The sequence below is a fragment of the Homo sapiens genome, chromosome 6 (genome assembly GCF_000001405.40).
Source record: "Homo sapiens chromosome 6, GRCh38.p14 Primary Assembly".
Taxonomy (NCBI): domain Eukaryota; kingdom Metazoa; phylum Chordata; class Mammalia; order Primates; family Hominidae; genus Homo; species Homo sapiens.
The window spans coordinates 43,390,077-43,400,974 of NC_000006.12; the positions used below are offsets into that span (position 1 = coordinate 43,390,077).

Sequence of the window (10,898 nt, forward strand, 5' to 3'; positions counted from 1 at the left end):
ACACATTTAGATTCTGGGAGGCTGATGTCCCCAGAGAGGACATAAAAGCATTACTCACCCCTCCCCCACCATCTTGCTCTATGCATCTCTTCCATTTGGCTGTTCCTGAGTATCACTTATACTAAACCATCAATAGGAAGTAAAGTGCTTTCCTGAGTTCTGTGAGTCTTCTAGCGAATTATCAAACCTAAGGGCCAGGGGTCGTGGGTACGCCTGACTTTTGTAGCCAAGTCGATCCGAACTGTGGGTATCCTGTGGATCCAGTATTTGTGACTGGCATCTGAAGTGGGGGCAGTATTGCGGGACTGAGCTCTTAACCTGTGGATTCTGCACTAACTCCAGGAGTTAGTGTCAGAATTGAATTGAATCGTTGGGTGCCCAACCGTGTGAGAGAACCAGAGGGTTGGAAAATTGGTGTTGAAAATGACCATGTATTTGGTGTTAGGGAGGAAACAACCCTTCACATATCAGTATAAAAATAAATTGTTGGACATTGTTCTAGGAATCTTATACAGCTGTTAAAACTTAAAATGGCAGCTACATCCTCATTGTGATAAGTGCATTTTTCTTTTGTAATTTTGAAGAATTAGACTTAAACGTGTTTAAGAGAATAGCAAACTTTACCGCCTCTTAAATTTGTCCCAGCAACTAACCACTCCTTCCTTCCTTCCTCCCTCCCTCCCTCCTTTCCTTCCTTCCTGCTTTCCTCTTGAAGGAAATAATGTATACGGTGGTCCATTTCCAAGACAAAGTGCCTTGAATCAGCTTAGGTCAGCAAACTACAGAAGAACTAGGATATACTAGGCCCCTGCTTGGATAGCAACGCCTGCTTGTCGGCCTCCGTCCCCCACCCCTTCACCTAAACCAAAGAAGTTTTATTCTAAGATAAAAGTTTACTAGCTCACTTTATCTGTTCTTATCAGCCTGTCCAGCTACTTAGGTCATTAAGTCAAACACTTAAAGAGCCCTTGAGCTAACTAGGATTGCAATGCATTGTGGGCTGCAATAAAATGCAGCAAGACAACCCTAAAAAAAAAAAAATCACCTAAAGCCCCTACTCAACAAGCATAAGCAAAGTCCGGGAAGATAGTGACCCCATAGTACTCAGCCTCTGAGGAACCGGGGGAGGGAGCTGCGCACTAGGGGATAAATTGCTTGTTAAAACTGTACTGGTGGGAGGCTGAGGCAGGAGAATCACTTGAACCCAGGAGGCGGAAGTTGCAGTGAGCTGAGATCGTGCCACTGCACTCAAGCCTGGGTGACAGAGCAAGACTCTGTCTCCAAAAGCAAACAAACAAACAAACAAAACTATACTGGGCGTGCCTGCCTATCAGACACCCAATCTTGCAAGACCACCATTAAAAGTCTCACTTTTGCTGTTCTCCGAGTCTCTGAATCCATTCTTTGGGTTTGGAAGGGTGAGTTTGTTTTTCACAATCTGGTGGCCATACGGGGATCTCTGTGCCTGCATGGAGAGGGGAGACGTGCCCCACTTGATTTATGTGGCCCGCTCTGTCTGGATGTCCCGGCTCCCCACAGAAGCCACAGACAAACCGGAGACCATGATTCAGGAGATAACAAAAGTGACACAGGAAGAAAAGCAGGCACCGCGGCAACCAGACAACCTCGTGCACGAACCACGGTGGGAAAATGGGACTGTAAGTACTGTCTTGGTGGTGGGGCATTTTCAGAGGTCTCGGGGTGTGCAAGAAACCTCCAGTAAGGGGGGCTGAGTACACAGGGAAAAGCTCAGACACAGAGACTAACTGAAAATGGGAAACAGGAATTCTAGGCCTCGGGAACAAAGGAAAGAGGGAACTAGAAACACCCCCTCTGACATTCTCCTAGATAGTCCTTTGGGGAGAATGTTGCAGGTTTGAAAGGCTAATCCTCAAACCAGGGACAAGGAAAAGCAAAGATGATAAAGTATTGCTGTTTTATCTGGCCCAAAGAGCCCATTCATCAGCCTTGGGTCTTTTGGCCTAAGTTTGGCTCAGATGCGGATTGGGTGTGCCAAGCTTTAATTCTATATGTAAATGATGAAACCCCATCCTCACAAGAGGAGATGGGTTATGCTCTTTGTTGGATTAGTGAATAACCCCATGTTCCACCTTAAAGAGAAAAAAAAGAGCATAGTAAAGAGCCCTCACCCAATGAAAAGCCCTGGGGTCCCCTAACACGCTTGCCCTCACCCCCATACATCTCACAAAGTAGAGGACAGGGAGATCAGGGGCAACAGGAAGGCTGGAGGAAGAGGAATCTGGGGGCCATGAAGGAGCTAAACCCAGTGCTCCCTTCAATCCTTATCCAAACTTAAGGAAAGAATTAGAACAATGTAAGAAGGACATTGAGAATTTCCCCATTTCTTCTAAACAGTAGATGTCTAATACGTACCGTCTTAAAGAATTCCTTGTGGGACAGGGAGAAGTTGGATTTGTGAGTGTGCTTCTAACAAGTACTGAGGTTACGAATTTTAAAAAGGAAATGAGGCCACTCTTGGAAGATCCCCTCAGTTTAGCAGAGCAGCTAGATCAATTTTTAGGACCCAATTTTTATACTTCGGCTGAGATGATGTCAATCATGAATATATTTTGTTTACTGGGGAAGAGAGGGGAATGATTAGAAGGGCAGCCGTGACCATTTGGGAGAGACAGCATCCTCCCGGGCAAGGAGTCCTGCTAGCTGAGCAGAAATTCCCAAAAGCAAATCCTAGAGAGGATAGCAATAACCCCAGAGATTGGGCCCAAATGCAGGACCTAAGGGAATGAATAATTAGAGGGATTAAAAAGCCCACTCATAGAACACAAAATGTCTTGAAAGCATTCAAGATCCAACAAGAAAAAGAGGAGACTCCCTCTGCGTTTCTGCAGAGGCTCAGGGATCATATGAGAAAATATTCAAGATTAGATCCAGAGGATCCAGTAGGGCAAGGCCTTTTAAAGGTTAATTTTGTGACTAAAAGCTGGCCTGATATTCCTAAGAAACTGCAAAAGATTGATGGATGGAATGAAAAACCGATTAAGGAATGACTGAGGGAAGCTCAGAAGGTTTTTGTAAGAAGAAAGGGAGATAAGGGAGACCACCCCTCATATTGTCTTATGCCCAATTTCTGCCTCCGAAGAAAGAAGAAGTAAAAACTAAAAGGCAAAAATGAAATCCACAGACAGATAGCCCAGCGCTGCGCCCTGGGCCTGGTAGTTAAAAATCGACCCCTGACCTAACTGGTTATGTTATCTATAGATTCCAGACATTGTATGGAAGAGCATTGTAAAAATCCCTGTCCTGTTCTGTTTCGTTCTGATTACCAGCGCATGCAGCCCCCAGTCACGTACCCCCTGCTTACTCAATTGATCACAACCCTCTCACACGGACCCCCTTAGAGTTGTGAGTCCTTAAAAGGGACAGGAATTGCTCACTCGGGGAGCTCGGCTCTGGAGACAGGAGTCTTGACGATGCTCCCGGCCGAATAAACTCCTTCCTTTTTAACTCGGTGTCTGAGGAGTTTTGTCTGCGGCTCGTCCTGCTACAGAGAAAGAGAACAAGTAAGAAAGAAAATCAGAAAGAGAAAGGGGAGGAAACGGCAAATATGGAGGGCCAGAGAGAGAGAGAGAGAGAGAGAAAGTTAAGCTGCTGACCCTGAAGGCAAGGGAGAGCTGGCCATGCATCTGTGTGTGTGGGAGCCATTGGACTAAGCAGCTGAGACAGGGTAGACAGTGTAAGACACTGTGCAGGTGCACTGGTGCCCAGAGAAAAAGAAGAGAGCCAGAGCTGTTCATCTTTGCAGACAGAAAGTGGGGAGCCAGGGTACAGCACGGCTCAGCTCGTGCCCAGAGAGAGAAAGAGGAAGAAACTGAGTATGAGGGAGAAAGGAAACGGGATGACAGAGAGAGAGACAGAAGAAGAAAAATGAGTAAGGGGCTGGGCGCGGTGGCTCACGCCTGTAATCCCAGCATTTTGGGAGGCCGAGACGGGCGGATCACGAGGTCAGGAGATCGAGACCATCCTGGCTAACACGGTGAAACCCCGTCTCTACTAAAAATACAAAAAAATTAGCCAGGTACGGTGGCGGGCACCTGTTGTCCCAGCTACTTGGGAAGCTGAGGCAGGAGAACGGCATGAACCTGGGAGGCGGAGTTTGCAGTGAGCTGAGATCACGCCACTGCACTCCAGCTTGGGCGACAGAGCGAGACTCCATCTCAAAAAAAAAAAAAAAAAGAAAAAGAAAAATGAGTAAGAGAGAGAGAGAAAGACTGGAAAAGCCAGAGATCAAAGAGAGACACAGAAGGTGAGACTTGGGAGAAAAATAATGTAAAAGGAAGAAAGAGTACAAGAAGAAGTGAGAGGATGCCGAGAAGTTGGCTGGGCTGGGGGAAGGTTCTAGAGGCTCAAGCAGCAAGGAGGTGCAGGGAAAGGTTACAGTGCGGCCACTAAGGAAGGACAGAGCTCAGGAACTGGGCGATGCAAGTGAGAAACGGATGTGAAGGAGAGCTTAGGATCAGGTTGCTTGAGGAGTAATGGGTTGCCTACAACAAAGACCAGATGGCAGGCCAGGCACGGTGGCTCATGCCTGCAATCCCAGCACTTTGGGAGGCCGAGGCTGGCAGATCACGAGATCAAGAGACTGAGACCATCTTGGCCAACGTGGTGAAACCTCGTCTTTACTAAAAATACAAAAATTAGCTGGGCGTGGTGGCACATGCCTGTAGTCTCAGCTACTTGGGAGGCTGAGGCAGGAGAATTGCTTGAACCCGGGAGGCGGAGGTTGCAGTGAGCCAAGAAGTCGCCACTGCACTCCACTCCAGCCTGGTGACAGAACAAGACTCCATCTAAAAAAAAAAAAAAAAAACCAGATGGCTGTTTGTCAGGAGGTGGTAGAGAGGATTCAGGTTATGGAAGGGTAAATGGATGAGATGACCATTAAGGTTTTGTTGTTGTTTTACTGAGAGGCTGTAAGTCCACCAGGGGCAGCTGCCAGTAAGTCTGCAGAAGGGCTGGCAGGCTACATAAGGAAGATCAGAACTAGGGTTGTAAACTCAAAGGACTACAGGGCCAGCAAAAGATGAGAAGGAGGGCTGCAGGGCTGGGTGGGGACTGTGGCTAACTGAAGAGGGCACACCGTGTTAAAGGGGCCGCAGTGCTCGGCTGTTCTTACAGTGCTGGCCCTGTGTTGCCAAATTGTCTGCTTTCTCAGAGGCCAGAATTCTGACTTTTTACATGAAATATGATTTTTAAATGCTGGGGATCAGTTCAAAAAACTTAAAAACCCAATACAGGCGAGAGAGGATGCCAGTTTGCAGTCCCTGAAGTAGAGAGAGCTCGTGCTGGGGAGAAGTCGGACAAGATGCTTTGAGGTGGGATGTATGAAAGTTCTGTTTCCGGCTGGGTGTGGTGGCTCATGCCTGTAATCCCAGCACTTTGGGAGGCCGAGGTGGGCGGATCACTTGAGGTCAGGAGACCAGCCTGGCCAACATGGTGAAACCACGTCTTTACTAAAAATACAAAAATTAGCTGGATGGGGCGGCACGTGCCTGTAATCCCAGCTACTCGGGAGGCTGAGGCAGGAGAATCACTTGAACCCGGGAGGCGGAGGTTGCAGTGAGTCAAGATCGCGCCACTGCACTCCAGCCTGGCAACAAAGCTAGACTCCGTCTCAAAAAAAAAAAAAAAGAAAAGAAAGAAAGAAAGTTCTGTTTCCCAGAGCCAGGCTGGGCCAGGGGAGGATTCTTGCAGCTGAGGAGGAGAAAAAGCCCCCTCCCAGAGCGGGACAAACCAGAGACCCTTTGCAGTTGCTGGGTCATCAGCAGGGGTGGCATCAAATAAAAACAGTGCAGCTCTCGGCCTGCCAGGAAGATGGATGGTGCCTTCGAAGCAAAGAAAGAGGAAGGGAGGCCAGAGCCAGGGATGCCTTTGCTAATGAGTGTGCCCATCAGGGAAGGCACCACAGGCTGGCAGCTCTTGGCCCAGAGCCAGACCCAGCAGGGCCTGGCCAAAGGCACCCTGGGAGGCCAGCTGGTCAGGCCTTTGCCTCCCCAAGTTCCTCTGGGGTCAACGGGCCTTGGGGAGGTGCCTAACCTAACTCCAGCCAGTTTTTCATGGAAAGGAGAGGATAATAAGAAGCCATCAGACTGTAACTGTTTAGCTATCATAGAATATCAAACTAAAGTTAGATCAGACCTTAAAGAAACTCCACTACATGATGGAATAAGGCTGTTTGTGGATGGGTCATCCCGAGTGATAGATGGTAAAAGACACGACGGCTATGCTGTCATTAATGGAAACAAACAATCCTATGTGAAAAAGGTAGATTACCCAATAACTGGTCAACCCAAACCTGTGAATTATATGCTCTTAACCAGGCCCTAAAGCTCCTAGAAGGCCAAGAAGGCACTATATACTAATTCCAAATATGCCTGTGGAGTAATACACACTTCTGAAAAAAATCTGGACAAAGCACGGCCTAATAAATAGCACGGGGGGAACGAACTGGTACATGGGGAACTGGTCAAACAAGTTTTAAAAAGCCTCCTGCTTCCCGCAGAGGTAGCCGTAGTTGATGTAAGTGGCCATCAGAAAGGAAACACTATAGAAGCTGTAGGGAACAGGCTTGCCGGTGAAGCTGCTAATCAAGTCTCCTGGAGGAAGAAGTTAGACTGTTTAGCCCAATCCCAGATATCCCTAAGGTGGTATTAAGACCCCAATTTTCTAAAGAGGAGGAGGAAGAACTGGGCAAGATAGGAGCCACTCATACTGAGGATGGAAGGTGGGTGCTCTGTAATGGGAGAGAAATGATAAACAAACCCCTTATGAGACAACTAATGTCCATACTGCATAAGGGAAGTCACTGGGGTCCCCAGGCCATGTGTGATGCAATACTCAAAAATTATGGGTGTATAGGGATTTATACCCTTGCTAAACAAGTGTGTGGGGGTTGTGTAACCTGCCAAAAAATAAACAAAAAGGTAGTTAGAAAACAGAGTACTGGAGGAAGACCTCCTGGGTTAAGGCCATTACAAAGCATTCCTGTATTTAGGCAGAACTACTGACCTTCCTACTATGGAAACCAAAGACCAATTTTTAAGAAATTATAGCCTGTAATCCCAGCACTTTGGGAGGTTGAGGCGGGCAGATCATGAGGTCAGGAGATCAAGACCATCCTGGCTAACACGGTGAAACCCCATCTCTACTAAAAATACAAAAAAAAAAAAAAAATTAGCCAGGCATGGTGGCAGGTGCCTGTAGGCCCAGCTACTCGGGAGGCTGAGGCAGGAGAATGGCATGAACCCAGGAGGCAGAGCTTGCAGTGAGCCGAGATCGCTCCACTGCACTCCAGCCTGGGCAACAGAGCGAGACTCTGTCTTAAAAAAAAAAAAAAAGAAATTACATACCGGCCATATCCTCCACCCTGTCATCCCTTAGGTTAAAAAGACTTCTAACTCAAACCCTGCCTCTTGAATTCACAGGTCACCACTTCCAGCCTGGCGACTTGGTGCTAATTAAGACTTGGAAGGAAGACAATCTCCACCCAAGCTGGGAAGGTTCCTATCAAGTGCTCGTGATCACTGAGACAGCCGTAGGAACAGCTGAACGGGGTGGACACTCACACTCGGGTCAAGAGACTGGTAAAAGAAACCCCAGAAGGAAGGGAAAAAGGTGAATGGGAAGTGTATAGATCACCTAAGGAACCCTTAAAGCTAACTCTAAGGAAAACCTAAAAGGAAGCTATAAGCAGGCTCCGTCCTTGGGGGTGGATATGGTTAGGATTAATCCTAATACAAGGGGTGAAAGAAGACCTAAGTATTGAATAGGGCCCAGTACTAGGGGTGGAAAGTAGGGAATATCCAAACTAATAGTCAACATAACCAAGACCTCCACCCTGCCCCAAACTATAAAATTTAATACCTGCCAAGTCTTACCTTGTGGGAATTTAGGGAACCACAGACAGTTGTCACAAGCAGACAAAGATCTATGTCCTAAAACAGACTGTTATTGGGCCCTCTCAGAAAAGCCCTGTGCTAGCTGGAATCAGGTCTGGTGGACCACTCAATATCAAAGTTGGGTGAGTCATTCTTCCAAAAACAAACCCTTATAGAATAAAATACATTTGTTTAAGGGCCCTACGCCACCTAACTGTAGAAATTTAGAATGCAATCCTATATTAATTACGATAAACAACCCAGCTACTCTTGACCGGGAACCTTGGAGGTAGGTATTAGGAACAGATATCTCAGGAAGCAATCTGGTGGAACGGTTTGCTCTTAGGCTAGTCACCAACTCCACCCCGAGCCCACCCAGGATTACTATAACTCCTGGTCCCGCTACCTCCTTTTTTTTTTTTTTTTTTGAGACGGAATCTCACTGTGTCCCCCAGGCTGTAGTGCAGTGGCGCGATCTCGGCTCACTGCAAGCTCTGCCTCCCGGGTTCAAGCCATTCTCCTGCCTCAGCCTCCCAAGTAGCTGGGACTACAGGTGCCCGCCACCACAGCTGGCTAATTTTTTTTTTTGTATTTTTAGTAGAGACGGGGTTTCACAGTGTTAGCCAGGATGGTTTATCTCCTGACCTCGTGATCCGCCCGCCTCGGCCTCCAAAGGGCTGCGATTACAGGCGCAAGCCACCACACCCGGCCTCCCACTACCTCCTTTAATCCACCAGACAATAACTCTAAGAGAATAAAAATAATTAAGGTAACTGACTTGAGGCAGACTTTAGAAATTGAGACTGAATATGGGGATGTAAATGCCTGTTGAATGGGTCAAATTTTTGGTACTAGCTCCTTTTTTTTTTTTTTTTTTTGAGATGGAGTCTCGCTCTGTTGCCAGGCTGGAGTGCAGTGGCACGATCTCAGCTCACTGCAACCTCCACCTCCTGGGTTCAAGCAATTCTCCTGCCTCAGCCTCCTGAGTAGCTGGGACTACTCAGCTACTCGCACAATGCCACGCCCGGTTAATTTTTTTTTTTTCTGTATTTTAGTAGAGATGGGGTTTCACCATGTTGCCCATGCTGGTCTCAAACTGCTGAATCAGGCAATCCACCTGCCTCAGCCTCCCAAAGTGCTAAGATTACAGGCGTGAACCACCGCACCTGGCCAGTACTAGCTCTTAATAAGACCAACTGTTACGCATGCTGTGCTGGGCAGCCTCAGGCACAGGTGGTTCCATTTCCCTAGGATGGGATACCAATCCCGACGGAATGTGTTGCATGTTGGCTCTATACCAGGACACGAATGCATGGGGAAATAAGACTTACAAAAGTCTATCATTGCTCTTTCCCGCCTTACAGAGATCAGACCCTAGAGCAATCCCCTTGTTCTCCAAAGGGAATATGAACCACTCCTCTTGCCTCTCTAGGCAGGGGGCAGAGTTCAGTAAGCCTGTGGGAAAACTCTCAGCTTGTACCCACATCCTAAACATTACTGGTGAGTCAAATAAAGGCAACTACTCAGCATTTCGTATACCCCAGGCTGATGTCTGGTGGTACTATGGGAAGAGAAACCTCTCTAACTTGTTATTGTCCAATTGGACTGGAACTTGTGCTTTAGTTCAAGTGGCCATTCCCTTCACCCTGGCATTCCATAAGATTCCCGAGAATCCACGTGGCCACTGAAGTTGGAGAGATCTAACAAATTATTTTAACCCCAGCACTTGTATTAACTCAATAGGAGTCCCTAGAGGAGTACCTAATAAATTTAAGAACCAAAGGACACAAACATAAATGTGAAAATGGGACCAATAGGAGTAAAAAGAAAAAGAGGAGGGAATTGAAGGAAATAATGCATACACTGGTCCATTTCCAAGACAAAATGCCTTGAATTGGCTTAGGTGAGCAAACTACAGAAGAAACAGGATATACTAGGCCCCTGCTTGGATAGCCAATGCCTGCTTGTCAGCCTCCCCACCTGCCTTAGTTGTCTTCACCTGAACCAAAGAAGTTTAAGATAAAAATTTACTAGTCTGCAAAATAGCTTACTTTGTCTGTTTTTATCAGTCTGTCCAGCTACTTAGGTCATAAGTCAAATACTTAAAGAGCCCTTGAGCTAACTAGGATTGCAACACATTGTGGGCTGCAATAAAATGCACAAGACAACCCCCGCCCCCCGCCAAAAAAACACCTAAAGCCCCTACCCAACAATCAATAGGCAACATCTGGGAAGACTGTGACCACATAGTACTCAGCCTATGAGGAACTGGGAGAGGGACCTGTGCATGAGGGGATAAATTGCTTGTTGAAACTGTGCTGGGTGTACCTGCCTATCAGACACCCAATCTTGCAAGACTGTCATCAAAAGTCTCACTTTCACTGTTCTCTGGGTCTCTGAGTCCATTCTTTGGGTTTGGATGGGTGAGTTCGTTTCTCACACTTCTTCCTTTCTTCTTTCTTTCTATTGCCCAGGCCAGAGTGCAGTGGTCTGATCATGGCTCACTGCAGCCTCAACCTCCTGGACTCAAGCAGTCCTCTCACCTCAGCCTCCTAAAGTGCTGAGATTATAGGCATGCACCACTGCACCTGGCATATTCTGGCAACTTTCTACTTCCCTTCCCTACACAGGTGGAAACACAGCCAAATCATGTCATGGAATGAGTGATGAATTGATGACATTGGATTGTGTCTTCGTGATGATTAATAGGGGCAAATGTCCCCAATATTTTTGAGAGATTCCTCTATGTTTTTACTTTAGTTTTCTCTATAATTTCCTATGATTGGCTTCTACCTCCACACTTGAGTAAAATTGCTCTTGGTGAGGTCACAGAACACCACTTTCTATCCAAATACTTCCACTCTCCCTAGAACCCTCCAAAGCACTTAGCACCTTACCTTTCCCTCCTCAAAAACTCCTCCCAGGCTTCCTCAAGGCTCTTTCCACTGCCCTGGGCCACTCCTTGATCTCTTGTCTAACCATCCC

At 47.1% G+C, this 10,898-nt stretch overlaps 1 long non-coding RNA gene across 7 annotated transcripts in view, besides 1 other annotated feature; it reads left to right on the forward strand.

Moving 5' to 3' along the window:
* Positions 1–1,096: 1,096 nt before the first annotated feature.
* The window catches only part of LOC105375065 (uncharacterized), a 34,842-nt gene continuing 25,040 nt past the window's right edge, over positions 1,097–10,898 (forward strand). For all 7 annotated transcript variants that reach the window (XR_007059585.1, XR_001744123.2, XR_007059584.1 and 4 more), the window contains exons 1-2: positions 1,097–1,658; positions 7,461–7,650. This is a non-coding gene — a long non-coding RNA (uncharacterized LOC105375065). The remainder of the gene's footprint in view (positions 1,659–7,460; positions 7,651–10,898) is intronic.
* Positions 1,415–1,709: a silencer, noted in NCBI's record as "tiled region #12040; K562 Repressive DNase matched - State 4:PromP". NCBI's record gives its function as "represses a minimal TATA promoter and a strong SV40 promoter by Sharpr-MPRA in K562 cells {active_cell/tissue: K562}" and the evidence as "EXISTENCE:reporter gene assay evidence [ECO:0000049][PMID:27701403]".